Source organism: Homo sapiens, chromosome 18 (genome assembly GCF_000001405.40).
Source record: "Homo sapiens chromosome 18, GRCh38.p14 Primary Assembly".
Taxonomy (NCBI): domain Eukaryota; kingdom Metazoa; phylum Chordata; class Mammalia; order Primates; family Hominidae; genus Homo; species Homo sapiens.
Window position 1 is genome coordinate 56,671,016 of NC_000018.10, and position 16,909 is coordinate 56,687,924.

General features: G+C 36.8%; 1 protein-coding gene across 12 annotated transcripts in view; it reads left to right on the forward strand.

Annotated features, from left to right (window-relative positions):
• The window catches only part of WDR7 (WD repeat domain 7), a 385,248-nt gene that overhangs the window by 19,657 nt on the left and 348,682 nt on the right, over nt 1-16,909 (forward strand). For all 12 annotated transcript variants that reach the window (XR_007066131.1, XR_007066132.1, XR_007066133.1 and 9 more), the window contains exons 2-7: nt 1,482-1,659; nt 8,317-8,423; nt 10,298-10,376; nt 11,664-11,838; nt 14,941-15,017; nt 15,840-15,959. Coding sequence is in view for 8 of the 12 variants with exons in the window: in NM_015285.3 (NP_056100.2) it covers nt 1,501-1,659; nt 8,317-8,423; nt 10,298-10,376; nt 11,664-11,838; nt 14,941-15,017; nt 15,840-15,959 (717 nt within the window). In the remaining 4 variants the exon portion in view is untranslated. The remainder of the gene's footprint in view (nt 1-1,481; nt 1,660-8,316; nt 8,424-10,297; nt 10,377-11,663; nt 11,839-14,940; nt 15,018-15,839; nt 15,960-16,909) is intronic.

Consider the following 16,909-nt stretch of genomic DNA (forward strand, 5'->3'; position numbering starts at 1 on the left):
AATTAGATTTTAATTTTGTTATATTAAGGAATACTTCCTCATATGTGCTCTCCTGCAAGAGGTGCACTCCAGGATGCTCTGGTTAATCTATTACTATCTCAAATTTAAATCCCTTCACCAGAAGCTACATTTTTTTCTTTAATGGAGAAATGAGTTTACAAAGACATTCTTTTCTTCCCTCAATGTTCAGAGTTTACAACAAAAGACTTTCATGACCTTCAGGCATAACGGGTTTGGAGTAAGTGTGGTTGAATGGGTTTCACACTGAGCAAAGTGTTTTTTTTTTTTTTTTTTGAGACAAAGTTTCCTGTTGCTCAGGCTGGAGTGCAATGGTGCGATCTTGGCTCACTGCAACCTCTGCCTCCCAGGTTCAAGCCTCTCAAGTAGCTGGGTTTACAGGCACCTGCCACCATGCCTGGCTAATTTTTGTATTTTTAGTAGAGATGGAGTTTCACCTTGTTGGCCAGGCTGGTCTTGAACTCCTGACTCAGGTGATCCACCCACCTTGGCCTCCCAAAGTGCTGGGATTACAGGCGTGAGCCACTGCGCCCGGCCCTGAACAGAGTTTTGAAAATGTTTAGCTCAGTGTGAAACAGGACTGAGTTTTTCTTGGGCGTTGGTATTTATTGCTGGTTTGGAAATCTCATTTGTCATCAGTAGCCTAGCAGAGTGAGAAAGACCACAGGTTCTGAAGTCAGGCTGCCTGGGTTCTGATCTGGGCTCCATCACTTATCGCTTTGTGCCTCAGTGTCTTTGTCTATGAAATAGGAATGATAATAGTGTTTACCTCCTGATTTGTTGTAAGGATTAATGGAGTTTATATATGTACTTACATTTATACACACACATACAATGTTCAGAAGAATTTCTGGGACTTAGAAAATTCTTCATAATTACTGTCTAGTGGTAGTGGTACAGTACAGTCTGTGTGTACCAGACTTTCTGAGAACGGTTTGACCTGTCTTTTTTAATGGAGGCATACAACTTGGGATCTGAAGGTCAAGATTTGTATTTGAGTTTTATGACTTGCTAGTTCTGTGTCCTAGGGCAGGTCATGTTTATGCCTCAGTTTCTAGTCAGCCAATGTCAAAAGGCTGTTTTGAGAATCAAAATGAAATAGTATACATAAAAGCGCTTTATAAACTGTGAAATCCTAGATAAATATGAGGTACTGAAGTCATTGGCCTTTTATTAGTAAATTTTAAAAACTGTGAATGCCTGGGGTAAAGACCTGTTTATTATTATTTCGTTATTTCTTTCTTTTCACAGGTGTTGATTGTGTATTATTTTGTAAGCACCTGAATCTAGAGTAGTTATAATAAACTAGTCGTTTTTTTTTGAAAATAATAAATATTTAAGTAGCTGTAATTCACTCCCAGGAATATATGATTATTTTCAAATTGTTGGTTTTATAACAAAAATATATAACATGTTTTCGAGAGAAATATTGTAATATCTGACAATTTTTATAACATTTTCAGGTTTGAAAACACAAACACAATGGCAGGAAACAGCCTTGTTCTACCCATTGTTCTTTGGGGTCGAAAAGCGCCCACACATTGCATCTCAGCCGTACTTTTAACAGATGATGGGGCCACGATCGTAACAGGATGTCACGACGGACAAATATGTCTCTGGGATCTTTCAGTAGAACTGCAAGTGAGTATGTGAAATGCCTATTATACATTTTAGATATAAAAATCTACTTATTAGAAGATAATATAGTCCCCAAATGATGCTTTTGGGCCCACAGTAGATTTTCTGAAAAATGTGTTTTGACTAAAACTAGTAGTATACAGATTCATTATTTACACTATTCATCAGAGTTGACTTCTGAGGGCTTTTGGCCATTTTCAATTGTAATATCTACCCTAAGTGACTTACTGTTTTGTTACATTTAAGATTTTTCAAATGATGATGACCCATACTGAAGAAGGTTTTCCAAAGAGGTTTTAGAAAATTTAAAACACTTAAAACCTTCTATGGTAAATGCTTTGAAGAGGGCAAAACTTTTTACAAAGTATAGATTTTGTTGTATTGATTAATGACTGTGCCTTTATTGTCATTCCTTACTACTATGGATTGCTCAGTGTGCTCTGCTTCCAGGGCTGTCAGTGGACAGAGCTAGGGAAATAGGAGCTGGGGACACACACACACACACACACACACACGTTCACACTGATACGTCTAATTCCAACATAACACCACAGCGTTTATCCTACTTTTCTCCTTTCCATATTTGTAACTCCTTTCTCTGACAACTCTTTCCAGGAATTTGTTGTCAAAGGAAAAAGAGAAAATGGAGTGGTAGCTGGTATGGAATGTGGGGTCAAGAAAGGTGATTTTTTAAATTACTTTTTTTGGATAATAGCCTTATTGAGATATAATTCACATACTACATAATTAATCTGTTTCAAATGCACGTTTTGACGTTTCTTAGTACGTTCATAAAGTTGCGCGGCCATTACCAAGGTCAATTTTAGAACATTTTCATCACTTCCAAAACAAACCCTGTACCCTTTAAATGTCCCTCCTGGGCCAGGCATGGTGGCTCATGCCTGTAATCCCAGCACTTTGTGGGGCTGAGGTGGATAGATTGCTTGAGTCCAGGAGTTTGAGACCAGCCTGGGCAACATGGTGAAACCCCATCTCTACTGAAAATACAAAAAACTAGCCGGACGTGGTGGTGCATGCCTGTAGTCCCAGCTACTCCAGAGGCTGAGGTGGAAAAAATCACCTGAGCCCAGGAGGTCCAGGCTACTCGTACCACTGCACTCCAGCCTGGGCAATGGGAGTGAGACCTTGTCTCCAAAAAAAAAAAAGTCACTTCTAATACTCATTCTCCCTAGACCACCACTAATCTACCTTCTGTCACTAACGTCGTGATTATTCTGGACATTTAATATAAATGGAATCATATAACTATAATATGTGTTTTTTTATGACTGGCTTTTATCATGTAGCATAATGTTTTTAAGGTTCACCCACATTGTAGCATGTATCAGTACTTCATTTCTTTTTATGGCCAAATATTTCTGGCCCTTATGAGTAATGCTGCTATGAGTATTACACATTTGTGTATGAGTTTTTGTGTGGACACATGATTTCAGTGCACTTAGGTATACACCCGAGCGTGGAATTGTGGGATCGTATGGTAGGTACCTCTATGTTTAACCTGTTATTTAAGGAACTGCCAGACTGTTTTCCAAAGTAACTACATCATTTTGCATTCCCATCAGCAGTGCATGAGGGTTCCAGGTTTTCCACATCCTTGTCAATCAATAGCTGTTATCTTTTTGATTCTAGCCCGAATTTTGTGTGTAAAGTGGTATCTCATTGTGATTTGGGTTTGAATTTACCTGATGGCTAATGATGTTGAGCTTCTTTTCATGTTCTCATTGGCCGTTTGTATATCTTCTCTGGCAAACTGTCTATTCAGAGTCTTTGCCCATTAAAAAAATTTTTAACTTAAAATTTTTTCCTTTGCCCATTTTAAAATTGGGTTGTCTTTTTATTATTGAATCGTAAAAATTCTTCATATATTCTAGATACAAATCCCTTAACAGATATAAGATTTACATTTATTTTCTCCCATTTTATCAGTTGTTTTTTCACTTTCTCGATTGTGTCCTTTGAAGCACAAAATATTTTAAGTTTGATAAAGTTCAGTTTATCTTTTTCCTTTGTTTGCTTATGTTATTGTTGTCATATCTAAGAAACCGTTGCTAAATCTAAGGTCATGAAGATTTATCCCTGTGTTTTTTTCCTAAGAATTTTATATACTAGTTTTACTTCTTACATTTAGGTCTTCGATCCATATTAGTTAATTTTTCTGTGGTGTAAGAGAAGGGTTTGACTTCATTCTTTTGCATGTGGCTATCAAATTATCCTAGCACTATTGGTCAGAAGGACTGCTTGTTCTCCATTGAATGCTATTGGACTCTTAAGAAAAATCAATTGACCATAAATGTCATGGGTTTCTATCTGGGCTCTCAATTCTATTTTATGGTTCTTTGTATGTGTTCTTATCCATATCCTCTAGATGTCTATACTCGCTGTCCTAATTACCGTTGTTTTATATACTCACTGTCTTAATTACTATTGTTTTATATTAAGTTTTGAAATCCAGATATGTGAGTCCTCCAGTATTGCTCTTCTTTTTCAAGATTGTTTTGGTGGGGTCCCTTGCATTTCCATATGAATTTTAGAATCAGCTTGTCAATTTCTACAAAGAAGTCAGTTGGAGCTTTAATAGGGAATATGTTGACTCACTAGATCAATTTGGAGAGTACTGCTATTTTAACCATATCAAATTTTCTGACCCATGAACATTGAATGCATTTCCATTTATTTAGATCTTTAGTTTTTTTTCAGCGATATTTTGTAGTTTTCAGAATATAAGGTTTGTATTACTTTTGTTAAATTTATTTCAAAGAATTTTATTTTTTGAATCTATTAGATATAGAATTTTTCCATTTATTTTATTTTCAGATTTTTCATTGCTGGTGTATAGAAATACATTTGAGTTTGTTTATTCATCTTGTATCTTACAACCTTATTGGACTTATTACTTCTAATAGTTTTTTAGTGGATCCTTTAGGATTTTCTGCATACAAGATAATGTCACTCTCCAATAGAGATAGTTCTACTTTTTGCTTTCTAATAGGGATGCCTTTTATTTCATTTTTTTGCCTAATGTTCCTGGATGGCACCTCCATAACAATATTGAATAGAAGTGGCAAGAGTGGACATCCTATTTTCGTTCCTAATCTTTAGCAGAGGGAAAGCATCTAGTCTTTCACTTTTATTTTTATTATTTTTATTTTTTTTGAGATAAGGTCTCACTCTGTTGCCCAGGCTGGGGTGCAATGATAGCTTACTGCAGCCTTGATCTCCCAGGTTCAAGTGATCCTCCTGCTTCATCCTCTTGAGTAGCTGGGTCTACAGGTGCACACTACTACACACCTGGCTATTATTGTATTGGGGCCTATCTCTCTTGTTAGCTCTAATAATATTTGCTTTATATATCTGGGTGCTCTGGTGCTGGGTGAATATATATTTAAAATTGTTATACCCTCTTGCTGAATTGACTCCTTCATTATTATATAGTGACTTTCTCTGTCTCTTCTTATAGTTTTTGTCTTGAAGTCCTGTTTTGTCTAAGTGTACCTATTTCTGCTTTTTTTGGTTTCCATTGGCATGGAATATCTTTTTTCATCCCTTTATTTTCAGTCTATGTGTGTTTTTATAGGTGAAGTGTGTTTCTTGTAGGCAAGAGATCATTGGGTCTTGTTTTTTCATCCATTCAGCCACTCTGTCTTTTGATCGGAGAGTTTAGTCCATTTACATTCAGTGTTATTATTGATAAGTCCTCGTTATTATTGGTAAGTAAGGACTTATTTCTGCTATTTTGTTTTTTGTTTTCTTGTTGTTTTGTGATATTTATTTCCTTCAGGTCTTCCTTTCAGTGATGGTGATTTACTCAGGTGATACGATTTATTTTCTTGCTTTTTATTTGTTGTGTATCCATTGTATGTTTTTTGGTTTGAGATTACCATGAGGCTTGCAGATACTATGTTATAACCCATTATTTTAAGCTGATAATAACACTATTTGCATAAACACAAACAAAAAAGGACAACTAATAAAGACTCTACACCTTAACTTCCCTTGCTTTTTAACTTTTTTTTTTGTTTTTTTGGTTTTTTTTTTGGGAGACAGGGTCCCACTTTGTCACCCAAGCTGGAGTGGAGTGGCATGACCTTGGCTCACTGCAGTCTGTCTTCCTGGGCTCAGGCAATCCTGCCACCCCAGCCTCCAAGTATCTGGGACTACAGGCCCATGTCACTGTGTCAGGCTAAGTGCTGGAATTACAGGCATGAGCCAGGGGCCTGTCAGCTTTTTAACTTTTTATTGTTACTAATTATATCTTATTGTACCGTCTGTGTCTTGAAACGTTGTAGTTATTTTTGATTGTTTCATTTACTCTTTCTACTTAAGAGTAGTTTACACAACATAGTTACAGTGTTGCAATATTCTGTGTTTTTCTGTGTACTTACTATTACTGGTGAGTTTGTACCTTCAGATGCTCACTAACATCCTTTTCTTTCTGATCGAAGTACTCCCTTTTGCATTTCTTGTAGGATAGGTCTAGGATTGATGAAATCCCTTGGCTTTTGTTTGTCTAGAAAGTCTTTATTTCTCTTTCAGGCTTCAGGGATATTTTTGCTGGATTTACTATTCTTTCCTTTGGTACTTTAAATATGTCATGCCACTCTCCCCTGGCCTGTAAGATTTCCACTGAAAAGTCTGGTTCCAGACGTGTTGGAGCTCCATTGTTTGCTTGTTTATTTTGAGACAGTATTTCTCTGTTGCCCAGGCTGAAGTGCAGTGGCGTGATCTCAACTTCCTGCAACCTCTGCCTCCTGGGTTCCAGGGATTCCTGTGCCTCAGCCTCCCAAGTAGCTGGGACTACAGATGTGTGCCACCCCACCTGGCTAATTTTTGTATTTTTAGTAGAGATGGGGTTTTGCCATTTTGCCCAGGCTGGTCTCAAACTCCTGGCCTCAAGTGATTCACCCACCTCGGACCTCCCAGAGTGCTGAGATTTTAGGCATGAGCCACTGTGCTTGGCCCAGTGTATGTTGTGTCTTTTCTTTTTTGGCTTTTAGGATTCTTTCTTAATCCTTGACCTCTGGGAGTTTGATTATTAAATACCGTGAGGTAGTCATCTTTGGGTTAAATTTGCTTGGTGTTCTATAAGTACTTGGATATTTGTATCGTTCTCTAGATTTGGGGATTCTTTGTTATTATTCCTTTGTATAAACTTTCTACCCCTATCTCCTTCTCTGCCTCCTCTTTATGACCAGTAACTCATATATTTGCCCTTTTGAGGCTATTTTCTAGATCCTGTAGGCATGCTTCATGGCTTTTTATTCTCTTTTCTTTTGTTTCCTTTGACTGTATATTTTCAAATAGGCCATCTTCAAGCTCACTATTTCTTTTCTCTGCTTGATCATTTCCGCTATTAAAAGATTCTGATACATTCTTTAGTATGCCAATTGCATTTTCAGCTTCAGAATTTCTGCCAGATTCTTTTTTATTATTTCAGTCTCTTAAATTTGTCTGATAGAACTCTGAATTCTTTCTCTGTGTTATCTTGAATTTCTTTGAGTTTTCTCAAAACAGAGAATTCAAACCCTATTTCGAATTATCTGTCTGAACAGTCACGTATTTGTTTCTCCCGGATTGGTCCCTGTTGCCTTATTTCCTTCATTTGGTGAGGTTGTGTTTTCCTGGATGGTCTTGATACTTGTAGATGTTTGTCTTGTCTGGCCATGGAGGAATTAAGTATTTATTGTATTCTTCACTGTCTGGACTTGTTTGTACCTGTCCTTCTTGGGAAGGCTTTCCAGATATGCGAAAGGACTTGGGTGTTGTGTTCAAAGCTGTATCTGCTTTAGGGGAGACCCAGTAACACTGTGGTCTTTTTTTTTTTTGAGACGGAGTCTCACTCTGTCCCCCAAGCTGGAGTGCAGTGGAGCGATCTCGGCTCACTGCAACCTCTGCCTCCTGGGTTCAAGCGATTCTCCTGCCTCAGCCTCCTGAGTAGCTGGAATTACAGGTGCGCGCCACCACGCCTGGCTAATTTTTGTATTTTTAGTAGAGATGGGGTTTTACCACATTGGTCAGGCTGGTCTTGAACTCCTGACCTCATGATCTGCCCACCTTAGCCTCCCAAAGTGCTGGGATTACAGACATGAGGCACCGCACCCAGCAGCACTGTGGTTCTTGCAGACTCGTAGAGGTACCGCCTTGATGGGCTTGGACAAGATTCGGGACAATTCTCTGGATTACCAGGCAGAGACTGTTGTTCTCTGTTCATCCTTTCCCTCACACAAATGGAGTCTCTCTCTCTGTCTCTGTTATGAATTACTTGGACTGGGGGGTGGAATGACACAAGCACCCCTGTGTCCACCTTCACTAGTACTGCACTGAGTCACACCTGAAGCCAGCATAGCACTGGGTTTTGCTTAAGGCCTGTTGTAACCACTCCCTGGCTACTGCCTATGTTTGTTTTAAGGCCCTGGGTCTCTACAATCAGCCAGTAGTGAAGCCAGCCAGGCCTGTGTCTTTCCTTTCAGGGCTAGAAGTTCTCCCAGGCGGCTCCAGCAGTGCTTTGCAAGAGCCAGGGGCTAGAATAAAAAATCTTAGCAGTCTACCTAGTCTTCTATTTTACTATGGCTAAGCTGACACTCAAATAGAAGGTTAATTTTTAAGTTTGGTACTTAAACTAGCATATTTTTGCATTTCTAGATTAATCCTCGAGCACTGTTGTTTGGTCATACAGCATCAATCACTTGTTTGTCTAAAGCTTGTGCTTCCAGTGACAAACAGTATATTGTGAGTGCATCTGAAAGTGGGTAAGTATTTTCTCATTTGCCTCTTTTTCTCATGAGTCTTTATAACTAGCACCAATGCCTTGTAAGTAGCGAGGTATTTTTTTTTTCTTTTAGAATATCTCCTAAATAAATGCTTTGTATTGTCTAAATCTAAATGTAGATATTTAAAATCTGATTTTAGGGATGTAAATTTTATCTGTGTTAATGATTTTATAATACTTTTATTGTAATTTATGATTATGTCCTTTGGCTTGCTTTTAAGGAACTCAGAATACTATAAAAGTTAAAGCACGATCATTCATCTCCATGTTGTTTTTATTGAGTTGCCAGACAACTTTGAGATTTCCTTTTAAAAACCTGAATGATGCTAGGCTAGCATAAATTTTGAAGATGATGCCATGAAAAAGTTCATAACGTTATATTGATATGTATTAATACACTAACATAACTATTTGTGTTCCCAAGTCTCAGAATGCAGCTTGCTTTAGAGAGGCAGGTCATTGAACAGTAGTTGTAGAGCCCAATGTTATTAAATGTTTAAAAAGATTTACAAACAGTTTTCAAAACATTTTTTGGTGCTTAGAAAATTACATATATTTATACAATATACTATTGAAGAAAGTTGGGGAACTTGAAGAGAATTATATAAGAAATTGTTGCTATGTGTGGTGGCTCACTCCTGTAATCCTAACACTTTGGGAGGCTGGGATGGGCGGATCACGTGAGCACAGGAGTTTGAGACCAGCCTGAGCAACATGTTAAAACCCTGTCTCTACAAAAAAATGCAAAAACTAGCCGGGCATGATGGCGTGCACCTGTAGTCTGAGCTACTTAGGAGGCTGAGGTGGTAGGATCACCCGAGCCCAGGAGATTGAGGCTGTTATGAGCTGTGATTGTGCCACTGCACTCCAGCCTGGGTGACACAGTGAGACCCTGTCTCAAAAAAGCAAAACAAAACAGAAATTGTTCTCCCCACTGAAGAGAACCTTGTATAATTCACTGGAACAAAAAGAAGCAACATAAGCTAAAAATATAGTAGCTGTTGGTCAATTAAAGGATAATTCCCATTAGAATGCATATTTTAAATTGAATGCTCTTTGAAAAATTGTCTTATATAATACCATATGAGATATAGAAAATGGTATCTTAAAGAAAACTCTAATAATATCAGGATCATTGCATTTTATTAATTTTTTTTGTTAAATGTATTTCTTCAATAGACAAGGCATGTTGACATTTCTAATTTTCAATGTTATATCTTTCAATCTTATATCTAGTTTTTTTGTGTGCATTCAATAAAATTACAATACATACAGAATGAAAACTGGAATCTGGTATTTTATTTGCAAAAGTTTGAAATTCAGTTGACTTTAACTTTTGTTTTTTGCAGTTTGAAATTCTCTAGCTACCTGGATGACAAATATAAAATCTCAGTAGTTTAAATTAGAAGTTTATTTCTTGTTTTTGTCACTTGTCCGTCATGTGTCACTTGAGGCCTCTACTCTGCTTCACTGTTATCCTTACTTTGAGGTTCAGAGTGAGGGAGCAACCTCTGTGTGAAGCAGCCAGTCTCTGGAACAGAGCTCTGGAAAGCCTTGCATTGGTTCCGGCCAGAACTACTTACAAGACTTCATTAACCAAAACGGAACCAGGAAATGCAGTCTTATTATGGGCCTACAAAGAATGTGGACTATGGTGGGGGGTGGGCAGTTTGGAAGGGGTGTTAGGAGGGTCGAGGGAGGACTGGAAATTTTGATGAACAACAGTAATAACTGTATGCTACTTTTTCTGAAATATATTAGTTTTAATGGAAGATTAATTTTAAATCACTGTGACAAAGTTGAATGGTGCTTTAAAAAGTCACACTCAAAGCTGACCATTATTTTGTTTTATAGAGAGATGTGCCTCTGGGATGTGAGTGATGGCAGATGTATTGAATTTACAAAATTAGCTTGCACACATACTGGCATACAGGTTAGTTTCTATTTCTGTGACTCTAAGTACAAACTATTATAAGTATATAATTTAAAATATTTTTAAAACATTGAGCCTATATTTTTATATGAAAAATGGTGGGTGGTAGTAACAAGACAAGAAAACTAGAATTGAAGCGGTAAAAGTGTTCCTCGTAAGATGGTACAGTTGGGAGGGGTAAGAAAGGAGAGGAGACTAATGGGGAAAGATACAGGGCAAGCAAATTGCTGCTGCTTCTGCTATTCTGGGCTACCTTGGTTACCCAAGTGAGAGCCCCTTCACTACTTGGGAAAATGCTCTAGGTCCTAAATAATGGAATTCTTCCTTGCAAAATCCTTTGTGATTCCACTTGTGATTGACACAAATTGACCTACTTTTTGGACCATATCTTTTTTATTGCTCATGCAGTTGGTCCTTGGACATGTATTTTTAAAACTTTCCAACTCTTCAGAAGACATGACTGTTTCATATGCCTGGCTTAATATGTAGAGTGTTACACAGGAATTTGTAGTTTCTGACTTACATTCCTGGTATTCTTTTTTACTTTTTCATAGCTGTCTAATTCTCTGTACTTCAGTTTACTAATTGTTTACTGTGTTGAGTGTTGGAAAAATTATGAATTATATTAAAAATATGATCAATTATGATTTCAATGGGAAAGGAAGAGAAGGTAACTCACATTTATTGAGCAGATACAGTGTAGGCATTTCTTGTATTGTGTTTGATTTAGTCCTCCTGACACCCTTACATATTAAATAGGAGTATATCATTTTACATATAAGGAAGCTGAGGCCCTGATTATGTTTGAACATCAATCATCCTTCTAAATTGTATTTGCATAACTAGTAATTATAAGCTTATATTTCCCTATTTCTACTTATTTGAAATTCATGTTATTTTTGTGACCCACCTGAGCTTCCTTTTGATGTGATTTGTAAAGCTGATTTTATTCAGGTGTTTTATTAATTTATTCAACAGTTCTGTTTTAGATGCTAGAGGGGGATAAAAACAATTATCACGAATTCTATTTCAAAATAATTCAAAAGGGAGGATAAGATGTTAGGAAAATAATTTTTGTTAGCTATTTAAAAATTTTAATATAACTTAATATATGTGTGTGCACATACACCCATATAATATGTACCATTTGGTAAATATCTAAAATTCTTACCGAAGAAGTTGAGCTTTAGGAGAATATTGTAATAACCTTGATGAATGCATATTAATCAAGTATCTAAATTAAAGGAGAACACTCAGAAATCTTTTTTCCTTTTGGCATGAATGTAGTTCTACCAGTTCTCTGTTGGGAATCAGCGAGAAGGAAGGCTTTTATGCCACGGACATTACCCTGAAATCCTTGTTGTGGATGCTACCAGCCTTGAAGTATTATACTCCTTAGTATCAAAGATATCACCAGACTGGATTAGCTCCATGAGTATTATTCGATCCCACCGAACACAAGGTCAGTGTATTATGCCTGTTAGGAGCTTTAGCACCATGACTTAATGTTTAGTTTACTAGAACATTCTACAATTTATCATAAATTAATACTTTGGGATATATTCTTCTATGTAAGAAATAACTACACCAATAATTTATGGTCTGTTTCTTCCTTCATAAAGAAATCTTTGATTGAATGAAGACTTAATTGTTGGCTTATCTCCATTCCATGATGTATAGATCATCAGCTTTTGACAGAGTATATGGGTGATTATCTGAAGTGGAGGAAGAATAGCTTAACCTTTGGGGGTGTAGTTTTACCTTTGGGAAGAGCTGTAGTTTTACCTGTATATTTCTGGGGCCTGGTTCTGTCACTTGCTTAAGAGGCATAGGGAATGTTTCCATTTCAAATGGGGACAGTGAAAAAGGAGAGATTATACACAGTTAAATTTAATGAAAGTTCCTGGAAGGGGCTGATATGTACTTGATGCTCAATAAATATTATTATCTTTTCTTCATTTTTGTTGAAACCTCTTAATAACAACCATAAAAGCAAAAGTAAAGTTGTCAGGAAAAGAGTAATAGTTAATGCAGAACATTGAATGTCTACTTTTATAAGCCTTTTAAGGAGCATTCTTTTACTTTCAAATGGCTTCATAGTTATGTGCTTCCTATAGAGGCCAGTAAATAACCACCACCACTACCACCGGTATCAGCAGCACCATCACCATGAGGACTTTCATTTACTGTGTGTTTACACTACCAAGCACCATGCTAAGCATTTACATATGATCAATTCTCACAATACTTAGTGGGGTAGGTACTGTTAATATTCATCATATAGATGAGGAGAATGATGAGAGTTAGTGTGATGCCATCTTTGCTAAAGGACCCCGGAGTAGTTACTTTAACCACTGTGTTACACTGCTTCCCTCCCATTAGTGAATTGCCTTCAACTTTATAGGAGCTTTTGCTTTGTAACCTCTTAGGGTAGGAAAATCAGCACATAGCTTTTTATTCAGTAGTCATTCAGCAAATATTTATCGAATGCCTACAGTCTTCCAGGTGCAAGGGATTGAAATATTAATACTTAAGGGAGTCAAATTCTAGTAAAGGACAATGATATATAAACAAATAACAGTTTAGAGTGCAAAGTGTGCAAGATGGAAAAATAGTATGGAGAGGATGGCAGTGAGGCTGATTGAGGGCAGTAGAGGGCTGTCCAGATCAGATGAAGTCTGATCTAGGATTTGGAAGATGAGAAAGAGTTTAGCAGACCTGCGATCAGGATGTTTCTGGCAAAGGAGATAGTCTGTAGGTACAAAAGCATTAAAATTATGATAGGTGTATATGTGAAACTATAGATTATCTTTTTCTGGGACAAGAAGTATGAGGGAAGGAGTGGCAGGATATAAGGCTGGCAGAGCTGGCAGGAGACAGGTCTTGAAAGCCCTGTGTATCAGCTAGGGAATTCACTTTGTGGATCAGGGGTTGTCAAACTTATACTGTAAAGGGCCAGATATGAAATATTTTAGGCTCTGCAGGCCATATGGTCCATGTTTCAACTACTCAACTCTGCTGTTTTAGCACAAAAACAGCCGCAGACAATACATTAGTGATTGAGCCTGGCTGTGTTGCGATAAAACTTTATTTACAAAAACAGCCAGTGGGCTGGAGTTGACTCATGAGCTGTAGCTTGCAGGCTCTCACTGTAGATGATGGGCAGTCTCTGAAGGGACTTATGCTTTAAACTTCAAAGATGGGAGGAAATTAAGAGATTAGTTGCCCAGCTGAGAGTGGTGCAGGCCTGCACTAAAGTGGACTGTCGGAATAGTGGATGCACTGGCTTCATTTCCTGCCGCTGTTCTTCAGAGTGTTGGTTCTGAAGTTTGTTAATAGGTATTTGTCAAAAAGGTGGGATCTCTGGTTAAATATATTTGGGAGATGTTTGGTAAAATAAAATTCAGCAGGCTTCTCTAATGTGAACCTTCTCAGAGAGGTTTTTTATGCATATTAGAGAATTACTGCTTTATTCCTAAGCATAACAGTGAGAATGAGATTTGCGTTAATTTTCCAGGCAATAGGGAACTAATCATTCATATATTTATCTCTAATATTAGTTACAATGAATCTTTTATTTAAAACAGATCTGTATTTGTGACCAAGCGGTTTGCCTATTTAAAATTTTTATACTCCTTTTATATATGTTTACACTGTAGTCTGAACAGAATAGACTGTAACTTAAATCAATTAATTTCAATGCCTTACAGTGCCTAGAGAACTATGTGATATTGATAAGGTTTTTATTTAAAGATAACAATTTTTTAAATAACAGTAATAACTCAACTTTATTGAGAATTTAGTATGTGCTGAATGTTTTCCCTTGGCGTGTCTTAATTTTTATAACAACCCATTAGGATAGGTACTGTTGTTATTCATTTATATTTGCTTCCAGATAAGAAAATTGTATTTAAGATAGTTTGTTATCTAAAGTTCATTGGTTAATTAGTGAAGAAAAATGTGATTTTGCTTTTAACATTCCCCTCCTTCACTCTGGAGCCTACGTTGACTGCTTTCCAATGCTCATCCTCTCAAAATTCCTGTACGTGACCCTGGTGCTGTCACTAGTCCCTTACCTGAAGCTTAGGAACTTAGATTTTATATCATATCTTTCTCTTGATCACACTCTGGGGAGGGTGTAATGTGCAATGAAGTATCTGGAAGGTGGCAAGGTATGTGGGAAAGGGGGAGAAATTTGTGCCTTGAAGAAATGAAGTGCTTGAGCTCATCCATGATAAAGAATTAGAAGTTGTAAATTTTGAAGTGTATAAGTTCATTGTTAACATAGTAATCAAGAACATTTGAAATTATTAAAAACTTCTTGATTAGAAATAAAAAATTCAATTAGCTAGAAATAATTTTCCTTGAATTTTAAGTTGTTGGCCATCTTTATTAACTTGTGTTTCAAAACCTGGTTTCTGTTTCATGAAATAGAGAATTATGTTTTTCTGCTAATTGTAAAACATGCTATTGTTTAATTTTATTCAAGCAAAACATCTTAATATTTAGAAAAAGCGTATTATGTTCGTAACCTGGGCTGCTTTTTTGTCCCTTCTCATTTTAGAGGACACAGTGGTAGCACTCTCGGTGACTGGCATCCTGAAGGTCTGGATTGTTACCTCGGAAATAAGTGACATGCAGGTGAGAAAAAGGAAACTGGGGTGATTTCTCTGTTTTTATTCTCTGTAGCTCAAAATTTTAGTAATGATATGCCCCTTCCATTTTTTTTAAGGGGGAAGGAAAAAGTGATTATTTTTTGATAATTTTCTTATAGGCATAGTATGGAAGATTCTCTAGTATGCTATGGGAGTGAATTTTTTATTTACTTTTAATGGCAACATCTGCTCTATCATGGATATAAAATAGAGAAACATATTGCGCAGGATATGTAGAGGAGAAACGTAAAAGAGGTGAGGTTCTCCTCAACTGCTTCTGTTTAAATTGACTCAAAGGAAAAAAAAATAAAGCAAATCACCACAAAAAATATACAAAGCCATTTTTAGTCATCTATTTCAGTTCTTTGGGCTTGAATTCCTTGTTCTTTTTTTTATCAATGAGAAAGATGAAGTCTGACAATTTTGATGCTACTCTCTTCAGCTAGGGAATTTTTAGGCATGGAATTCAGGAGAAGATAGAGGAATTAATTGGATTTTTTAAAAAAGCACATATAGCTACAAAAATTAGGATTAAGGCAGACTTTATCATCTGTCATTACCAGAGTGATGATACTCTGAGTATCATCAGAATTGAAATCTCAGGGGATTTTGTAGCAACAGTATTTGTGTCTAGCTGCTTTTAGGGTATATCTTTGCTGCTTTTTACTACCGTGGCGCTTACCTGAGGGGCTAAAATGATGAACATATGAAGCGATGCCTTTATTTAATTTTGTTGCCTTTATCATTGTGTGATAATTTTAATTGACAATCATGCTATTCCTAAATTTTTACAAATCTTTCTTTTCAGGATACTGAGCCAATATTTGAGGAGGAATCCAAACCAATTTATTGTCAGAATTGCCAAAGCATCTCTTTTTGTGCATTTACACAAAGGTCACTTTTGGTTGTGTGTTCCAAATATTGGAGGGTAAGATAATTATATAAATAAGAAGCTGTATTTTTATCCTTCAAGACATTGGTTTATCAGATTTCCAAAGAACCCTAAAGAAGTACTTGGTGCAAGACTATTTTCATCATTTAGAATTCATGTCTGCTTTTGATATCACATTTTGAGAAGTTGGGACTTGGCTATATGTAGTTGTCTTTTTTTGTTTGTGTTTATGGAATGATTCAATTAGAGACTGTATTTCATTGGTCTTAATTTCTCCTTTTTGCTACTGTTTTAGTCACTGTCTTATCAGTACAATATAAGCAGTAGTAGGGAGTTTTCTACAGTTTGGACATTTCTTTGTAGGGTGTTATTAAAGCTAATAGTCAATATTTTCCCTGGCTTCTTGCAGTTGGAAAGTCTTCTCATATCACTTCAGAGCTAATGATGGAAGAGGTATATTACTTCCACATTGCCAGACTTTAATATTTCCATAATAGAAAAATAGCATGTTTTGGGCACTTGCTCTGTGACTAGCACTTTTTTCAAAGCTTGCCATGTATTATTTCTTTTAATCCTTACAACTCTCTGAGGTTAGGTGGATTAGCTATTTAATTCTGAATAACAAATCATTCCAAAAATTATTAGTTTAAAACAACAAACATGTTTTATCACCCAGGTTCTTGTTTTTGTTTTTTGTTTTTTTAAAGAGATGTGGTCTCATTCTGTAGCCCAGGCTGGAGTGCAATGGCACAATCATAGTTCACTACAGCCTTGAACTCCTGGCCTCAAAGGATCCTCCCACCTCAGCCTCCTGAGTTGCTAGGACTACAGGCACGCATTACCAAGCCTGGCTAATTTTAGAATTTTTTTGTAGAGATGGGGTCTCACCCTGTTGCCCAGGCCGGTCTTGAACTCCTGGGCTCAGGCGATCCTCCTGCCTCAGCCCCCCAAAGTGCTGGGATTATAAGCATGAGCCACCATTCCTG